Source organism: Homo sapiens, chromosome 3 (genome assembly GCF_000001405.40).
Source record: "Homo sapiens chromosome 3, GRCh38.p14 Primary Assembly".
Classification (NCBI taxonomy): domain Eukaryota; kingdom Metazoa; phylum Chordata; class Mammalia; order Primates; family Hominidae; genus Homo; species Homo sapiens.
Genome location: NC_000003.12, coordinates 72,362,947 through 72,382,030, shown reverse-complemented (window position 1 = coordinate 72,382,030; position 19,084 = coordinate 72,362,947). Strand labels below are relative to the sequence as shown.

The following is a 19,084-nucleotide window of genomic DNA, read 5'->3' as shown; positions in this document are numbered from 1 at the left end:
CTGAGGTAAGGAAGAGCTCCTGTGCTCTTCGTCTGACAACCTTCAGGCTCTTAATTCTTGCCGCCCTCATCCCACATAGCCTGCTCTCCTAAAAGTCACCAGCGACCTCGATTTCCAAAGCTTGGGCCCTTTTCTCAATTTGCATCCTACTTTGTCTTTCTCTGCAGTGTTCATTTATTCATCCAGTAGATAATTTTATTGAGTACCTAGCACTGCTTAATGCCACGATGACAAAGATGATTAAATGTGGTCTTTGCTGTGGAGTAGTACACAGTTGATTGACAGTTACAGTGTAATGTGTTAAGTGACAACTTTTATAGGTTGTCCTGGAGTAAGGTAGGCTCCTCCGTCTCAAGATTGGATGGGCCTGGTGATTAGGCTGAGATTTCTCTGGGGCCAAGCACGTGGCTTACCTTTGATTCTCTCTGTGTTTAGGATAGTCTTAAATTGGTGTTCAGCTGTCCTCTCTTGTTCTTGGATCAGATTTCTCTGGCGTAAAGTACCCATACTGGCTTAATTGAAACTCTTCATCAGGGTGTAGTTTCCCATAAAGTTTGAGTGGTTTATTCACATTATTAACTCTGGCTACATTATTTCATTTTAACACCTAAATATTGGTTAATGTATGGTAGTTTATTTTAGCACTAATTTAAACTGTTTGGTAATCCCTCTAGACATCTAATCTGTGGCCCCAGTGAGTGCATGTGCAATGTTTTGTAGCGGTCATTTTTTTTTAAGTATTAACACAATCATACTTCCTCTTTAAAAGGAGTAAAATGTGTTAGAATGGCTACTGCTGCTGTTAGAATCTGTGAAAAAGGGAAAGTCACCTTTCACCTAGGGGGTCCTGTGTGTTTCTTGGAAGAGAGGGGCCTAGAGTAAGTACATGCCCCTTCTCCAGGGTGCTTTCACATGTGTTTGAATCCATCCCTTGTCACTTGTGATCCAGGCTCAGGTAATACAAGGTTTCGTGGTATGCCATCCCATGACCAAAACTTGTATTGCTAGAGGCCACGACCAGTACTGAAACACTCAGAATATACCCAGTTCAATGCTCAGATTAACTTTGATACTGTCATGGCATAAGCATCTGTCCCTACCTCTCCTGCGTCACCTGTCAGCTGTATCATAGCCACTGCCCAAGAGGTGCTCCAGTAACCACACTTAGCTTAGGGAGCCAACATATCATGCACCTAGTGACTCTCATTTTGTTTCCTGGTAAAGAATAGCAACATTGGCCAGGTGCAGTGGCTCACACCATATTACCCCCAAGCACTTTGGGAGGCCGAGGCGGGTGGATCGGGAGTTCGAGACCAGCCTGGCCAACATGGTGAAACCCCGTCTTTACTAAAAATACAAAAATAGCCAGGTATGGTGGCAGGCGCCTGCAGTCCAACCAAGCTACTCAGGAGGCTGAATCAGGAGAATCGCTCAAACCTGGAAGGTGGAGGTTGTAGTGAGCCAAGATCGTGCCACTGCATTCCAGCCTGGGCAACAGAGTGAGACTGTCTCAAAACAAAAAAGAATAGCAGCATTAGGTAAGAATGCAGCAGCTTTGTTTTGGGTTTTGTTTTTAGATTTTTGTTTTCTAATCCTCCACCGCTGACTCTCCCATTGATGAGTCAGACTTGGTCTGTCCAGTTATTTTTCTCCAGTCCCTTTCTCCATCCTGGGGAATTGGAGAGGGAGCTATCGGTTCTGAAGGGGACTATTACATTGTGGCAGCCAGTTGTTTTACTTTGTTAATGAACCATTCGTATATTTGTTTTCCATCTTAAACTTGGAGAGTTTATTATATTGTAAATGTCTATCTAGATGGGAATGTCTTGGAGAGTTAATATTATTTAGAAATAAAGCATAGGCATTCCTGTCTCCCTTTCTCATTTAGGGCTGTGAATGGTCATGCATTGTGAAAGTGTTTGGCATCTCTTAGAATTTGTGAACAATAGTGCTAAGAGCCAGTGTCAGTTGGAGATTGGCACAGACATAATGGTTTATGGCACAATGAATGTGTCACTTGTGTATGATTTTTTTACAGTGACTTTCAGTCTTCACTCCCTTGGGAGCTAGTATGAGCCATAGTTACCTTTGTTGCTCTCTATGTGTTGTCTGTGCCAATCACAGAGCTGCAGGGGAACAGAACAAGTTGGAATAATTAGATTGAGGAGTGAATGTCACACTTCTAATTTCATTCTCTTTTCAAGGGATTACCAGTGTCCATTTAATAAAATGAGATTAACCCTCTGCAGCAGGAGTACTTGAAAGCTGTCAGTCAGTATAATCTTGACGGCTTGAAAGAAGTAGTGTTCTCAGCACTCTTAGAAACACTGTCATGTTTTATTGGCTCAAAAACTATTTTACTGCACAGGGATGTGTATGTTAGTGTTATCACATGTGAATGTATCATTTCCTTTGAAAAAGGAAAAGTTTAGTATCCATACTAAATAATCCATACAAAATAATGCAGAAATAACATGAACCTTATAATTTAGTTTTGAGTTGGCAGATATCAGTAATAAAATACCCAAGGAATGTGAGACCAGATAAAAATGTTTAAAAACTTTATAAAGCAAATAGTGATATATATTTTTTGAACATTTCAGAAAACCTCGGATCAATTCTCAGCTGGTGGCACAACAAGTGGCACAACAGTATGCCACCCCACCACCCCCTAAAAAGGAGAAGAAGGAGAAAGTTGAAAAGCAGGACAAAGAGAAACCTGAGAAAGACAAGGAAATTAGTCCTAGTGTTACCAAGAAAAATACCAACAAGAAAACCAAGTAAGTTTCTGGTTAACTAAGTACAGGATATTACTTTGCAAGTGAATTCAAGATATCTTCTAAATGCCTGTTTTTTTTGTTTGTTTGTTTGTTTTGTATCTCCCTCATTTAGACCAAAGTCTGACATTCTGAAAGATCCTCCTAGTGAAGCAAACAGCATACAGTCTGCAAATGCTACAACAAAGACCAGCGAAACAAATCACACCTCAAGGTACTTGGAAACTAGAATGACATACTAAATCACTGCTCTGATTTACTTAATCGTAATCATGAATCCAGGGTGGTTTTGTGCCTTGGGTTTGTAGGCTAAGAAGGTGAAGAGCTAAGTATGGGTGGGGCTGGTGACTTTTTCTCTTTTTTAAATACTGTGGCCAGAACAGGAAACAGATAATAGTAATTTTACATTGGTCCCAAGCTTTGCTATCCGTGCTTGTTGGATTATTGCTAAAACTGAGTAGCACACTCTGTAGTCGGCTTTGGCATGTGTGGTAGGCAGTTCGGATTCATTGCCACAGTGTCATGAAGTCTTGTGCGTATTGATGATATTCTGCCAGAAGCTGTTTTTGATCCATAACTTACTTAATTGGCTCTTCCCCTGTGGTGTTGCTTCTAGGCCCCGGCTGAAAAACGTGGACAGGAGCACTGCACAGCAGTTGGCAGTAACTGTGGGCAACGTCACCGTCATTATCACAGACTTTAAGGAAAAGACTCGCTCCTCATCGACATCCTCATCCACAGTGACCTCCAGTGCAGGGTCAGAACAGCAGAACCAGAGCAGCTCGGGGTCAGAGAGCACAGACAAGGGCTCCTCCCGTTCCTCCACGCCAAAGGGCGACATGTCAGCAGTCAATGATGAATCTTTCTGAAATTGCACATGGAATTGTGAAAACTATGAATCAGGGTATGAAATTCAAAACCTCCACCTGCCCATGCTGCTTGCATCCCTGGAGAATCTTCTGTGGACATCGACCTCTTAGTGATGCTGCCAGGATAATTTCTGCTTGCCATGGGCATCTGGCCACCAAGGAATTTCGCACCCTGACGATTACTCTTGACACTTTTATGTATTCCATTGTTTTATATGATTTTCCTAACAATCATTTATAATTGGATGTGCTCCTGAATCTACTTTTTATAAAAAAAAAAAAATCTGCTGTGCACAATTTTCCATGTACATTACAACTGGTTTTTTGTTTTTGTTTTGTTGCCGGTGGGGAGGGCTGGGAGGGGGAGGGAACTTTTATTTATTGTGTTCACAAACTCCATCCTTTCAGCATATCCTTTTAAGTTTAGTTCTTTCTTCCAGTTATACTATGTACTATCAGTTTTGATATAACTATATATATATAAATATAAAATTATATATAAAGGGTTATTTGAAACCAATCCATGGCAACGCTGGTGCTTGATACACTGTGAAGTGAATACAACATTGAACAGTTACAGATCTGGGACAGTCCCTTCTATGAAAGTGCTGAAATTTAATTAAAATCAGTCTTATATGAAGTATGTTCCAATCCATGTGGGAACTTGACTCTCTCATCTGTCTAAAGAGTACTGGACGATATAAAAATATATATTTTTTAAACAATGTGATCTCAAATTTAAAGACTGCTCCAGATAGCCTGCATTTGCAATGGAATAACTGACAAATCACAAGTGGTTTAGTTGGGCAGGGCTTTGATCATTCAAAAGTAACTAAAGTAGCTCCAGAATGCCAAGTATTCGTGTAAATTACGGTTACATGTTATCATTTGCTGTTCTTACATAAGCACTCATGAAAATATGGTATTCTGTAACTTGAATTCCATCCATTTTCCAGACCTCTACTCATGTCTGAGGTAAATCTAGAAATTGTCTTAGTTTTAGGATTGAAACAGTCTATAAACTGTATTTTTGGTCCATCCAGGAAGCTAGTCCCTTGTTTCTCCTTTCTACATGACATTGCAGTGGTGGTTTCTGTAATTAAAATTTGTTTGCCTCATGTCCCTTTGTCTGATAAACCTTCACTCTACCGATTCAGTTGTGAGCATTCTTTTTTTCCTTCTCAAAACCTACTATGATTTGTTTTACTGAACAAAGGTTATCAACCACACATCCAGTCCTGACATGGAGCTTTTCAGTGTTTGGAGACATTTCTCAATCCCCTGCTGTGGTAGGAACTCCAGTGGTGAACGGCTTGCGCGCCTGCAGCCAGAGTTGCAGGGAAAGCTCGTACTTACTGCGAGCAGCATGTAATCTTTTTTCTTCCTGGACATAAAGATAGCTTGAGTAAACTGTTCTATTTCATTCTCTTCACTCTTTTTACTGTCTTGCAAAAAAAAAAAAAAAAAAAATAATCAAAGACCACTAATAAGATTCCACCTCTCCTTATTAAAATAATTTTTTAAAATTTTGTTTTGCTTTTGTTTGGATGTGGGGTCTCTCTTCTATTTGACTTTTACATTTAGATACAGAGTTTGTAGTACTTCAGAGACATTTCAAGCATGAGAATTTGAGGTTACCTCTCTTTATTTGACCTTTAGGGACTCACGGGAGGGCAGCCTGATTTGTAATGAAGCACCACATTTTGGTGTTAAAAACCTGGTTTGCTTAATAATAGCAGTAATTTCTGTCTGTGGAGGCAACAAATAAAAAAATTAACAGCTTGAATTGAGTAGCCAACAGGAAAGGTTCCTTTCACATTTACATTAAAACTATTCTGTAGTCACTAATGTACCATAATTTAAATTCTTTTCTCAAAGGTATAGATTATAAAGCAGTGCCATTTGTTGCTGTGGTCCTATTCTCAAATGCATGGACAATGTTCCCCCCTTTTTAAAATAATGCTTGTGTCTGGGATGCAAGCTTTGCTTATCTTTTTAAATACATTTTTAAAGTATTTATTAATGAACCAAAGGAAATCAGATGCTTTCTATAAGCATCAGAATATATAATACATAGTGATTTGACTATGAATTTTAAATCCACATTTTAATATTGGTGGGATATTGCAAAGACATTCCTTCTAAAGTTTTAATATTCCTTTTATTAAGGGTCTCAGGGAGGGTAAATTAGTCAGCCATATTTATTTTCCAGAGGTTTAAGAAATTGCTGTTTTTAACTTTTTGAAAAAACTTAAATGCCACCAAACTCATGTAGGTTGCACTGCTTATTGAACCAATAACTGTTGGTATGCACTTTGTTCAGACACACTGTGTACTTTTTCAAAAACTAGTTTCATGTAAAGTGATTGGACCCCATAGATTAGTGGAAAAAGCTGATTAACCAGCTACTCATAGGCTGCTAATTCATTCATGCCAATGTTTTGGTTTTTCAGTTTTGCCTCCGTGATAAATTAAAGAATGGGGAGGGGTGAAGGAAGGGGAAGAAGATTGCTTTAGAACAAGTGGCATGAAATTACCATCTTTGTAGAAACCGCAGCTAACAGTGGGAGTTATCTAAGCAATCAGATGTTACAGGGCCAGCCCTTTAGCTGCTGTGGTGTATTCTGTTGGGTAGTGAGGTAGTAGGTACTTTATAGACTTTTAATTTTGGAAATTGATGACATCCCTCAGGCATGTATTCTGGAAATGGAATTCCTGTAACTTCCTGTGTCTGCAGTATGCCCTACAATTAGTAGGCAGCGTGTAAAAACACTAGTGTAGATTATAAAGATATACATTAAAAGAGGACCAGAAATACTTGGTATTCAGTGGCACAGAAAGCAGGTTAAACAAACAAAAAGCACAGTGTTACGCTTGCAAGTTTCCATTTGTTTTAATACCACGCAATCTTTCACACTCGTGCGTGTGCGCGCACACAGAGCTTACCTGACTTGCTCTGCTTGAGTCATGCAGTTACAAAAAAAAAGACATCTTGACACCCACACAATATTCTAATCAAAACCTTTCAGTTTCAATCTGGATATTTAAAAACATTGGCAGAAGCTTCTGTGAGTTTAGTTCCACTAAGATGTTTCACCTGCCTTATCAAGACCATTCTCAGTCTACTTTTTTAAGCTACCGTATCTTAAATTATTGAAAATTTATTAATTGCTGAATATATAATAACCTTTGCTTGTATGTAACCGAAAATGGTTTAAGAGCCAACATTTAGAGTATGACAATGGAGCTGAACAGTTTTTAATGCGCAAGCAGTTCTGTTCTTGTGTATGACTTGTAACCTTAATTTACTGTGTAAAGATGGTTACATTATTTCCTTAGCTTTGTTTGTTGGAGACAAATAGAGAATGCTTGTTAAGTATGTCAAAACAATCTTATCTTGTGAATTTTTGTTAATGTATTATACGAGCTATATTTTTCATTTGCCCAGAAAGACAGCTTGTATAACGCTTTTGGAAGTTTCTGCTCTGTAATGTCTTTAGAGCTGACAGTCTGTTAGGTTTGTTTTTTTCTTCATGCTAAAGTGTCAGTTGGTGGTTTTGTGAACTGGTCAAAAATTCACAGGTCTTAAATGTTTTGGGGGAAATTTATATTGGACACTGCTCTTTGTCTAGCAAATAAAAGATGTTAATATATTCCTGTTACTGGCATGTGCACGACTATGTTATTAGAAGCCACTTTATCATTTTCCTGCTTTAAATAGAAATGTCTATTTATGAATTCTGCTTGTAGTTTTTTCACAAATAAAATAGTAAAATTTACATTGGAAATCTTTATTTTTGTGTGTATAGATTTTAGCCTTTAGAATAATAGTTAATTTTTAATCTGTGGAATATTTCCAATGTGAATAGGAAGCTCACTTTGTATTTTAGAACTTGTTTATCAGAAGCTGAAATAGCTGGGTATCTTAAGTACATACCTCAAAGATGCAAAAGGAGACATAATGGGGCAAAAGAATCACCAAAATTTGAAAGAAAATGAACTGTCTCCTAAGTGTAACCTTTGAGATAGATTGCAATGATGTAAAGGAAGGAAATGGGATTTAAGGAAAGAAAATGGAGATGATGCTAAAATATGCTAATTGAGGACTGAAAATCCTCAAAAGACAACCCCTGTTTCTGGCCAACTGGATTTAGGTCAACTATGTCTCAGAGATGTGAATAAAGTGTGTTACTAACCTAAAAGCCACACAAGCTCACTTATTGCCCCATGCGAGGGAGACTCCTGCCTGCTGCTGCAGGTGCTGAGGCATACCAGTCTATAACCTTCCAAAGAATTAAGAAACCACTTAAAACATGTCAAGATCCATCCCCGATTATTTTGTCCTGGGTCTGCACCTGAACTAGCACTGGAAGGAAGAGAGTGTAAATAGCGCAGGATGTTGAGTTGAAAATGGGTCTGTTCTGATAAAACAGCAAGTTCCATTCTTCGTCCTCATTTTTTAGTACTGAACGTGACCCAAGTTTGGCCCCTCAGAAGTCTTGGAAAGGATCTGGAAGGGTTGAAGGACAGGGATTGGATGGGGTCTCTCATGTTTCCCACAGGCCATTTTGGATACAGACGTGCGATCTGCTAACCCCATGCCCCTCTGCTTGCTTTTGTGCCTGAGGAGTTCACTGTGAGGGCCCCCACTGCTGGTGGCACTGGTACCATCCTTTGGAGGAGGATGGGAATTGTCTCCCATACCAGGTGTGGACCAAAGCAAGCACTTGGTCTTTACAGGGGAGGCACAAGGAAGAGTCGTTTCTTTCCAGTTGTGTGGACGGAAAGGGAGGCAAAAAGGTTTTCTCTAATCCTCAGCCAAACTCTAGTGTTAACACCAAGTGTCCAGATCCCCATTGAGAAATCCCATGGCTAGAGTGTGACAGGATCATGGAAGCAGCTCTTGCTCAATTATTCTTGATCAAGGGTGGAATGACGACTTCAGCCAGCAAGGGCCCAGGCTTGTGCTCTCTGATTTCATAGCCCTACGGCGTGGAAATGGAAACCAGCCAGACTCCACCTTGGGCAGTGAAGAGAACATAAGGGACGTCCAGGAGGCCCTTGGTCTAGCACGCCCCTGACCTCCCAGCGGTTCTGGAAGGCCACTCCTAACCCTTCAAACCATAGCAAGGAAGGTTAGAGCTATCTTTGTGTTAGGATCAAAACTCGAGAAGGTTCTGTTTGCTAACCACTGAAGGAAGCCCACGGCCTGTCTTTAGGGCTTCTGTCAGGAGAGGACAATGGACATAGACAACTAGATACTGCAGGAGGGCTCTGGTTTTCTCAGACAGGATCCTAGGATGTGTCTGGAAGCCTGCGGAGTGAAGGTAGACATGCAGGTGTGATGTTCTGCCTGATAGTGCCTCTCTCCAGGCATTAACTACAAGGCTGGGTGGGGGCTTACTGTAAGGCATCGAGTCCCTAAGCATTTATACAGTCCCAATTGTGCATCAGTGCAGTGCTGGTTATAACAGGGAAGAATTTGTGGAGGGGAGGGCACAGGCTGAAATTGGCCCATTCCTACACATGCTCTTGACCTAGACCTAGAGTAAGTGACATTGACCCCAACCGTCCCCCTACCCACCTCCAGCTTGTGCCAGACATCACTAATCAGTCACAGCGCTTCTTTCCAGCTGAATCCAGACTCAGAATCCTCATTAGAGCTCATTGTTAGCACGTCTTCCTGAAGTGCAACCCATTTGCCATTCCTTCCCTGGACGAAACCCACCCCAAATAACTGGGAAACCCTTCAAGGCAGTTTTTAATCAACACTTCAATTGTGGAACTGCATGAATCCAAGAAGGCCAGCTGAGAAGCTCGGAGGAGTCAGGAAGGAAGAAAACTAAATATCCAACACCCAACTCTTCAAAGAGTTCAACTTCCTGTTCAAAACAGGGTCAGACCAGGGGATTCTTAGTGAGGCCAGTGATGAGCACTGTAACTTTAAATGCAGCCCTGAACCCCAGACCTGAAGGCCTGCCAGTGTCTTACCCTACAGGCCAGACCGGGACCTACTTGCCCAAGCTGTCCTACTGGTTCTGTCAACCGGGGGCTCTCAAATAACAGAGTAGAACACCACATGGATATGATTCCTGGAAACCACAGAACTAGGTGAGACTCCTACCTCTGACTGCCTGGGTGTCCTTGGGCAAGTCAGCTGACCGGGCCATTTCCCTCAGTTGTCAAGTAGGGATTAGAGGTGTATGTGCTCCTACTGTGTTCTCTGCTCCAAGGAATCATGGCGCAGTGCTCCCAGAGGTGGGTTGTGTGTTACCATGTTTTTAACAACGGGAAGCAAAAACTTTATTTGAACTTTCATTCTGATGCTTCACTGATGACACCGGAAATGAAGATAATTTGTTTTGTGATTGTTTTATTGTGTTTTCAAGTTTTAATTCATGAATTTTCCTGTACTAAAACAAAGAGCAAAGTTGGTTAAAGCCTGCATGTAAATAAAGTCCAGTGGGATTTTTGACACCTGCTTGACGTTTCTATGTCTACAAACAGTGTTGTAATGAATACGGCCTTTCATCATTAAACATTCGATTTTTTAAAAATGACGTTTACTGTCCTGTTATTATTGAAAAGGTAAAAGTTGAAACTTGATGGAAGAAGTAGAGATGTGCACGGCATCTGCTGTGATCACACTGTAGAAGCTTACTAAGCATTAGTTGCTGGATTGTGCGTAAATAACACGTATAACGTACACACATGTATATCTTCTTAATTGAGAATGGGATTCTTTTCATGTGGTGCATAAATGCCACAGGCTTCTTGCACAGAGAAGTTTGAGGTACAAACCCCTAGATCTGCCACAAACACACTCATGGTGTGAATTCTAGATGAGAATCATTTTTTCAGCCTGAGTAATTCGGCCATCACAGCAGCCCCAGAATGAGGAGCACTCGGTGTCTGGGAGCCAGGCAGATTTATAAATTGTATTCATTGCCTCTTCACATTAAAAGGAATTTGTACCCGTTTGGAGAAGTCTCCAATAGAGTTATCTTATTGGTTGGAATTATAGCAATCTAGAAAATGTGTGAATCCAAGGCATTCCCAAGAGGCAGAAACCTCTAATAAATTGTACTGTGAAGTTCCAAGCAACTCCTGCTTGTAGAAATCACCCTGACAATGCACACGAAGGCAGCAAACTAATAGGGGAATAAGAGGGAGAATTGCAAGTGGCTTCCATTCATCTTAGAACAATCAGCGGCCTCCGGCGCTGTTAATGCCATTAATCGTGTCGTGGTGTCGCGTGTGGCCTGTGCTGGCCGGCAAGATGGGGACCACTTTGGTGGGCTGCTGAGCAGAGGCAGGAATGCCAACACCCCAGCTGGGCTCGCCCCTCTTCTGCAGAGATTGATAAATCCCGAGTGGGAGCTTAGGCCTAGATGAGACTGAGTGAACTGGAAATGGGGACACATGTGAGTAGAAGTGGTGGGACCAACAGTTCACTCTACAACCTTTGTTTATGTTCCCAGCCCTCTGACCGTTATTCATTAGTGGTTTGTTTTTTGGTTTTTTTGTTTTTCTTGTTTTCTGAGACGGAGTTTTGCTCTTGTTGCCCAGGCTGGAGTGCAATGGGGCAATCTTGGCTCACGGCAACCTCCACCTCCTGGGTACAAGGGATTCTCCTGCCTCAGCCCTCCAAATAGGTGGGATTAAAGGTATGTGCCACCACGCCCAGCTAATTTTTTGGATTTAGCAGAGACAGGGTTTCACCATGTTGGGCAGGCTGGTCTCGAACTCCTGACCTCAAGTGATCCTCCCGCCTCAGCCTCCCAAAGTGCTGGGATTACAGGCGTGAGCCACCATGCCTGGCCAGTTATTCATTAGTTCTATGCAACATGGATTGGTATCATCACAGCAAAACTTATCGAAGTAGAAAGAATGGCACATTTTATTGGTACTGTTTTATGCCTTATGTAGACACGTTTCATCTTCACAGTGACTCTATTGAATATAGCAGGCGTTGGCAACTACAGCCCATGGGCCTAATCCATCCCAATGCCTGTCTTTGTACAGCCCTCTAGCTAAGAATTACTTTTACATTGTTTTAATGGTTGAAAAAAATATTTAAAGAATAATAATTTAGGCCGGGCGCAGTGGCTCACACCTGTAATCTCAACACTTTGGGAGGCCAAGGCAGGCGGATCTCTTGAGGTCGAGAGTTCAAGACCAGCCTGGCCAACGTGGTGAAACCCCATCTCTACTAAAAATACAAAAAATTAGCTGGGTGTGGTGGCGTGCACCTGTAATCCCAACTACTCAGGAGGCTGAGGTAGGCGAATCACTTGAACTCAGGAGGCGGACATTGCAGTGAGCCGAGATCATGCCATGGCACTCCAGCCTGGCAACAGAGCGAGATTCCATCTCAAAAAAAATAAAAATAAATAAATAATCTTAATGATTATTAAATGATTTTTGAAGAATAATTGTGATGTGAAAATTATATGAAATTCAAATTTTAGTGTTTGTCAATAAAGTTTTATTGGAACACAGCACACTTATTCATTTATCTATTGTCTATGGCTGGCTGTTTTCCCCACTACGATAGCAGAATGGAGTCATTGCAACAGAGACCGTGTGGCCCAGGGCCTAAAATGTTTACACTCTGGCCCTTTCTACAAAAAATGTGCTAACCCCTGCAATATACTCCCATCTTAGTCACGTTCTATGAGGTAAGCACTGTTACAGCCCTCCATGTCTGGAGACTTAGTAAAAACTCAATAAATCGTTGTGGATTGCAGGAATCCTAACTCCCTGCTTTACAAATGAGGACACTTGGGCACAGGAAGGTTACCCAGCTAGTAAGTGGGGGAGTCAAGGTTTGAATCAAGGCTGTCTAATGTAGAGCTCTGGCTTTTAGTTTTCAAGAGACCGAATGCACAGCTTGCCCCAAAGCGTGTTCCTTGAAACATCAAGTAGGCCAGATGCCTAGCTTTGGCCAAATGTGTTTGGCAATAACTGTTTAACATAGACGCCTTCTTGAAGTTTCACAGTGATCATTAGCGTAACAAAGGCTCTCAGAAGTGCTACAGGAAAGAGACCCATTTAACTTTCTTTACTATGGTGTTTTAAAAACTTAAAAAAATTTGACCTACCTTCCACCAACTTATATAGCTTGGGTGAAAGCTTAAGTGAACAGAGCAAGGGAGTTGCAGGTAAGACATACTAGGTACAAATTGCGTCTGTGACCTTGAGCGCATCATTAAACCTCTCTGAACCTCTGTTTTTTTTTCTCTGTAGAATGCTAAGACAGTTGTAAGGATTTAGTGAGCTGATGAGGTCCTGGCTCCTGGTAGATGCCCAGAAAATGACAGTTCCCTGCTCCACCTGGGTACTAACTCAGATGTCCTGCAACCTGCTATTTCCCACCATAGGGACCACATTGGGAACCAATGTAGCTTTGCAAAGTGACAGCTCATTTCATGTTCAGGAGCCTAGTGGTTACAGATAGGACCATTCAGAGCCATCAAATGCAATCCCAACTGCAGAAGAGGGAAGGTTCTGGCATCCTAACCGCAGACCAGAAAATGCTCCCGGAGCATCTGCATGCCAACAGCATGGCCTGGCCCAGCACCGTGGCAGGGAGCCACACTCCCTGCCTTGTGGGTTTCTCGTCCATCATTTTCTGGGAGAGATCTAACAGTGTACTCCGGCTGTCAGTAGCGCTCTTGAATCTGCTCTCATCTTAGTCACACTCCTGCTTAAGTGAGTCGTTCTTGATTCCCTGGACACCAGAAGCCTTTCTTCCTGACAGCAGGTGAGAGGCTGGCAGCCTCTTGACATGACCATTCACTTCAGTGCTTTCGAAAATCCCCGGCTGCCCCGCGACCCAGACATCTGAAGATTTTGCTTAATAGACTCTGCTGCCAGAAGGTGTGTTGGGACTTGGCGAGCCCAGCCTTGGACTTGCTCTGCCTGAGCCAGGGTAATTCCTTCATCAGTGCCTACCCTTGCCTTCCTGGAAAAGGCTGGCCCTCCCCAGGGGGAAGAGAGGGAAGGTGGCACACCACCTGGCACACAGCAGAAGGTCAGTAGATGATCTCACTGCCCAAATTATGGAGTTAGGTGAAATGCAAATTCAACATGTATTCTAAGAACAAAAGGGAAGAACTCAGAAATTTCCTTTTCTTAGTATACTCTTCTGCCCTGATGGTGCTTTGGCTGGAAAGTTTGAAAAAGCCTGCTACCTTCCTACCTCGCACTCCACAGAGTGCCTAGTTTGGGGAGGGTCGGAATGAGGGGGAGGTATATATTGACAAAGTATGAGTTCCCAGGCCCTCCCATGGGCAGGGTTTTTTGTTTGTTTGTTTGTTTCAGATTCCATGTACATTTGCTAGTTTCTGGCAGTTGGCAGATCGAGCCAGCGGCTGTCTTTCACACATACTCCTGAAGGCCTCTAAAAAGCGTGAGAATCAATCACCTCAGCACCCCAAGAAGCCAATGGAGGACCAGCATTGACTGTGCTGCCATTTTTGTTTTGTTTTGTTTTTGAGACAGAGTTTCGCTCTCGTTGCCTAGGCTGGAGTGCGATGGCACGATCTTGGCTTACTGCAACCTCTACCTCCCAGCTTCAAATGATTCTCCTGCCTCAGCCTCCCAAGTAGCTGGGATTACAGGTGTGAGCCGTCATGCCCCACTAATTTTTTGTATTTTTAGTAGAGACGGGGTTTCATCATGTTGGCCAGGCTGGTCTCAAACTCCTGACCTCAGGTAATCTACCCACCTTGGCCTCCCAAAGTGCTGCGATTATAGGCATGAGCCACTGCGTCTAGCCTCTGCTGCTGTTTTGATCAAAGGACATAGTTGCAAGATAGTGACCTAGTCAATACCCTCACCCCTTTCTCCAGCTCCTCCCTGTCCTACCTCACTGTCCTCTTGGGGAACAGGTGCTCCCATTCCAGGGCCAGCCATCCTGCTGGGAGTTTGCATCTCAAGCAGCAGCAGGCCCTTCGGGAGGAGGGGAGCCAAGATGGCAGTCAGCCTTCCACTGTCACTTTGAAAGGCGTAACATTTTATTACCTGAGTTTTGTGTGCCTCCGCTTAGCTGCTCTCTTAGTGCACAGCCAGGCTGAACACCAGATTTGTCTGACAAGAAGAGCTTGTATTTGAATATAAAAGCAATGACATCTCTCAATAACTACATGGTAGAGAATTTAAATTGCTTCTCAATCTCCTTCCTTCCCCTTCTCTTTCTTTTTTTTTTTTTTTTTTTTTTTTTTTTTTTGAGACGAAGTCTTGCTCTTGTTGCCCAGGCTGGAGTGCAATGACATGATCTCGGCTAACTGCAACCTCTGCCTCCCAGGTTCAAGCAATTCTCCTGCCTCAGCCTCCTGAGTAGCTGGGATTACAGGTGCCTGCCACCACGGCCGGCTAATTTTTGTATTTTCAGTAGAGATGGGGTTTCACCATGTTGGCCAGGCCGGTCTCAAACTCCTCACCTCAGGTGATCCCCATGCCTCGGCCTCCCAAAGTGCTGGGATTACAGGCATGAGCCATCACACCTGGTCTTTTCTTCCCTTCCTTTTTCATAATGGAATCCCAGTGATTAGCCGGGCTGATTGCCTTCTAGGATGAAGACAACATTTCCCAGCCTCCCTTACAAAGCTAAGCATGGCCATGTGACCATTTTCTAGCCAATGTGAAGCAAGCTGAAGTGCCATGTGTCTCTTCTGGGAAGTGTTCTCGAAAGATGGGGGTGGAAGTGGAGAGACAAGCATCCTCTAGCTTTCCAGCTTGGAACTTGAATGTGATGCCTGGAACTCTACCAGTGATCTTAGACCATAAGGGAAACATTAAGGATGGAAGTCACATGTTAAGTATAGCAAGAGCTGAACGACAGAAGCCCGGGTCCCAGGTGAACCCATGGAGTTGCTGTTCCAGGTTGGCCCTGGCTAGCATTTGACCTCTCATAGATGTCATAAATAAAGTTCTCTTTTATTTAAGGCACTATTACTTTTGAGTTTTCTTTCTGTTATATGCAGATGAAGTTAATATTAACTGATTTTAAAAATTTCTAGTAAAACTGCTGCTCCCCTCCCCCCAGAAAAAAATAGGCCACACTTCTCCTGAAGCCTCCTGTAGCCCTGGGTTTGAGTAGCTTGGAACTACGGACAATGCAAGGGTTTAAGGTCAGTGGATTTGGGGTCCAAATCCACCTATCACTTAATAACTAGATGACCTCGAGGATTTTTCCTATACAATGAGGTCATATTAATACCTTTTTTCGTAGAGCTGCTGTGTTTAATCCAATATATATTTCTTGACTGCCTGCTTTGTACCAATTACCATATTGATCCAGAGCTGAATAATACAGTCCCTGTCTTCTAGCAGAAATTGTCTTAAGTGCTATGTTAGGTTTCAGCTAGCCGACTTAGTCTCTGCTGCTGGGGAGGTTTTAAAGATGAGAGTGAAGTTAGATCTTAAAGGAAGGATTCATGAATGGCTTCAGAAGGTCTGTGACATGAGTTCCTTGAAAATTTTCACAAAAATTGTGTGTGTGTGTGTGTGTGTGTGTGTGTGATAGCAAATGTGCATTTTTATTGGAGGCAGTGTTTGTAATTTTTTTTTTTAAACAGAGTCTCTCTCCGTTGCCTAGGCTGGAGTGCAATGGGTGACCGCAGTCTGCCTCCCGGGTTCAAGCGATTCTCCTGCCTCAGCCTCCCAAGTAGCCGGGATTACAGGTGCCTGCCACCATGCCTTGCCAATTTTTGTATTTTTAGTAGAGACAGGGTTTCACCATGTTGGCCAAGCTGGTCTCGAACTCCTGACTTCAAGTGATCTGCCTGCCTCTGCATCCCAGTGCTGGGATTACAGACGTGAGCCACTGTGCCTGGCCAGGTTTGTAATTTTTATTAGAGTCTAGAATGCTTCCATGGTCTTAAGTGGAAGTGCTACTGCGAGCTAAAAAGGATCCAGATAATCTTGGTATGGCTCTCACTTCTCTTCTGCTAAATGGCTTCCTCCTTGAAAAAAAATCTGTATAATGCAGAGAATGTGATGGCCACATAAGTTAATGGGGCACTGTTGGGCTGCTTCGAATGGAAGATATGCCCACCAGAATCAATCAGCTGAGGCTGTGTTTTGCTCCTGTAACAAATGACCTCAAATCTCCAAGGCTAACAACAAAGGCTTGTTTCTCACCCATGCCAGTGTCCCTGTGCATTACTCTGGAACCCAAGCTGATGGAGCAACCTCTCTCTGGGATATTATTGTCAACCTTGGGGCAGAAGGGATAGCAAACCGTGCACTGGCTCTTCAACCTCTGTTTAGAGGTGACACGCATCACTTTTGCTCACATTTTACTAGGCTAAGAAGTACATGATCACTCCTGACCACAGAAGACTGGGATCCCATGAGAAGGGTGCCAGAGGAAGAGAAAACACACATTCTGAGCATTAATCGATCTACCACACCATGTTATTGGGATACAAGAATGCAAACAGAAATTAATCAAAAACGAGCAGGAATTAAACCTAACCCAGCTTCCTCAATTTCACTGTACTCAACACTCTGCAGTCAAGGAGACACGCTGAACAAAAAAATCTGGTTTTCCATTCTTGCCACATTGTTAAAATTGGAAGAAAATCAAAACCAGGTAGAGGCACTTGGACTCCGGGAGTCTTTGTGATGGGCAAAAGACAAGACTAGTAAAATGGGTGTGTTTAACAAATGTCTACCATTAGCCAAACTCGGGGCCTGCCTCTTTATGCCCCCAGTACTGGCCTTTATATCAGGATGCTTTTAACACATAGTTCATGCTCCCTGGATGTACCTTGCTTAACATACAGCTTGAAGAATTTCCTAGATCCACACAGCATGCTAAGTGTAATGGATTGGATCATGTCCTCGCCACCCCAGCTACCACCACCAAATTCATATGTTGATGTTGAAGCCCTAAACCTGTATTTGGACACAGAGCCTTTAAAGAAGTGATCAAGGTTAAATGAAGTTACAAGGGCAGGGCCCTAACCTAATAGGACTGGTGTCCTTGTAAGAAGAGGAAGAGATACAGAGGAATGGCCATGTGAGGACACAGCATGAAGACAATGATCTGAAAGCCAGGGAGAGAGGCCTCAGGAGGGACCCGCCCTGCTGGCACCATGATCTTAGATGGTCAGCCTCCAGAACAGTGAGAAATAAATATCTGTTGTTTAAGCCACCTAGTCTTTGGTATTTTGTTATGACAGCCCAAGCATCACAATACATTAAGAAAAACTGGCCGGGTGTGGTGGCTCACACCTGTAATCTCAGCACTTTGGGAGGCTGAGGCAGGAACATTGCTTGAGCCCAGCCTGAGCAACATAGTGGGACCCCCATCTCTGCAAAAAAAATTAAAAAATTAGTCACACATGGTGGAGTGCACATGTCGTCCCAGCTACTCAGGAGGCTGAGGTGGGAGGATCATTTGAGCTCAGGGGGTAGAGGCTGCAGTGAGCTGAGACTGAGCCACTGCACTCCAGCCTGGGTAACAGCGAGACCCTGTCTCAAAATAAAAGAAAGAAAGAAAAAGGAAAACAGCAGCCCCAATCCCCAGCCCTACCCTCTTCCCTTCTCCCCTTCTTCAGAGGAACATTTTCTGTTCTGTATCATGATTTCTTTGGTACTCGTTTCCACATCTCTTAAGAATCATGCCTAGAGCTCCTTGCTGTGTTTTCCATCTTAAGTGTTATCTCTTGACTTTCCACTATGGAAGATAAGATTTTAGCCCTTATTCCTTCTGCCCATCCTCATCCTATGTAAGCAGACTTTTCTCTCACCCCCTGCCCAACTCTCAATATTATTATACTGTATTTGGCTCAATCAATATTCATTATTTCTATTGTTTTGACTTTATTAGTGCACATCATCACAGTGGTGTTTTATGGTAAAACCACGATTGTTTTTCCTTTCCTACACAATTTTTGTTTTCCTAGAGTTTATGATTATTTTTTTGTTTGCTTCTTTATCATCACTTCTACCACAAACACAGGCAGGGTGAGTTGGAGTCCTGGTTGGACGCAGCATTTCACACAGAGGTTTTAATCCAAGGGTTTGTAAATGAAGGGGCTGTTGAGAGAGGTGTGGACGAGGATGGAGAGGCACCCCAGGACTTCAGCAACAGTAGGAAGCTGTTGACAGTGCCAGGCCTGAAGGGCAAGGGAAGGAAATAGTGTTCCTGGAGCCTAGGAGATTGAGCTGTAGAGGAGATGCCCGTAGGAGCTGTGTTTGGGGAGGGATGACATAGCCACTGCTGAAATGGCGGTTTATTAGTTTGTTCCCATATTGTTGTAAGGACCTACCTGAGACCGGGTAATGTATAAGGAAAAGAGTTTTAATTGGCTCTCAGTTCTGCATGCTGTACAGGAAGCATGGCGGGGGAGACCTCAGGAAACTTACAATCACGGCAGAAGGTGAAGAGGAAGGAGGCACATCCTACCATGGCGGAGCGGG

The 19,084-nt window shown here is 43.0% G+C and overlaps 1 protein-coding gene across 1 annotated transcript in view, besides 1 other annotated feature; it reads left to right on the top strand.

The window, feature by feature from the left end:
* The window catches only part of RYBP (RING1 and YY1 binding protein), a gene marked incomplete at its 5' end in the record, with an annotated part of 72,027 nt that extends 64,593 nt beyond the window's left edge, over nt 1–7,434 (top strand). Inside the window, 3 exon segments of the mRNA NM_012234.7 lie at nt 2,604–2,780; nt 2,893–2,991; nt 3,394–7,434. Of these exon segments, the coding sequence (NP_036366.3) occupies nt 2,604–2,780; nt 2,893–2,991; nt 3,394–3,646 (529 nt within the window).
* Nucleotides 8,767–8,967: a silencer, noted in NCBI's record as "peak4695 fragment used in MPRA reporter construct". NCBI's record gives its function as "represses an SCP1 promoter by STARR-seq MPRAs in K562 erythroleukemia cells {active_cell/tissue: K562}" and the evidence as "EXISTENCE:reporter gene assay evidence [ECO:0000049][PMID:32103011]".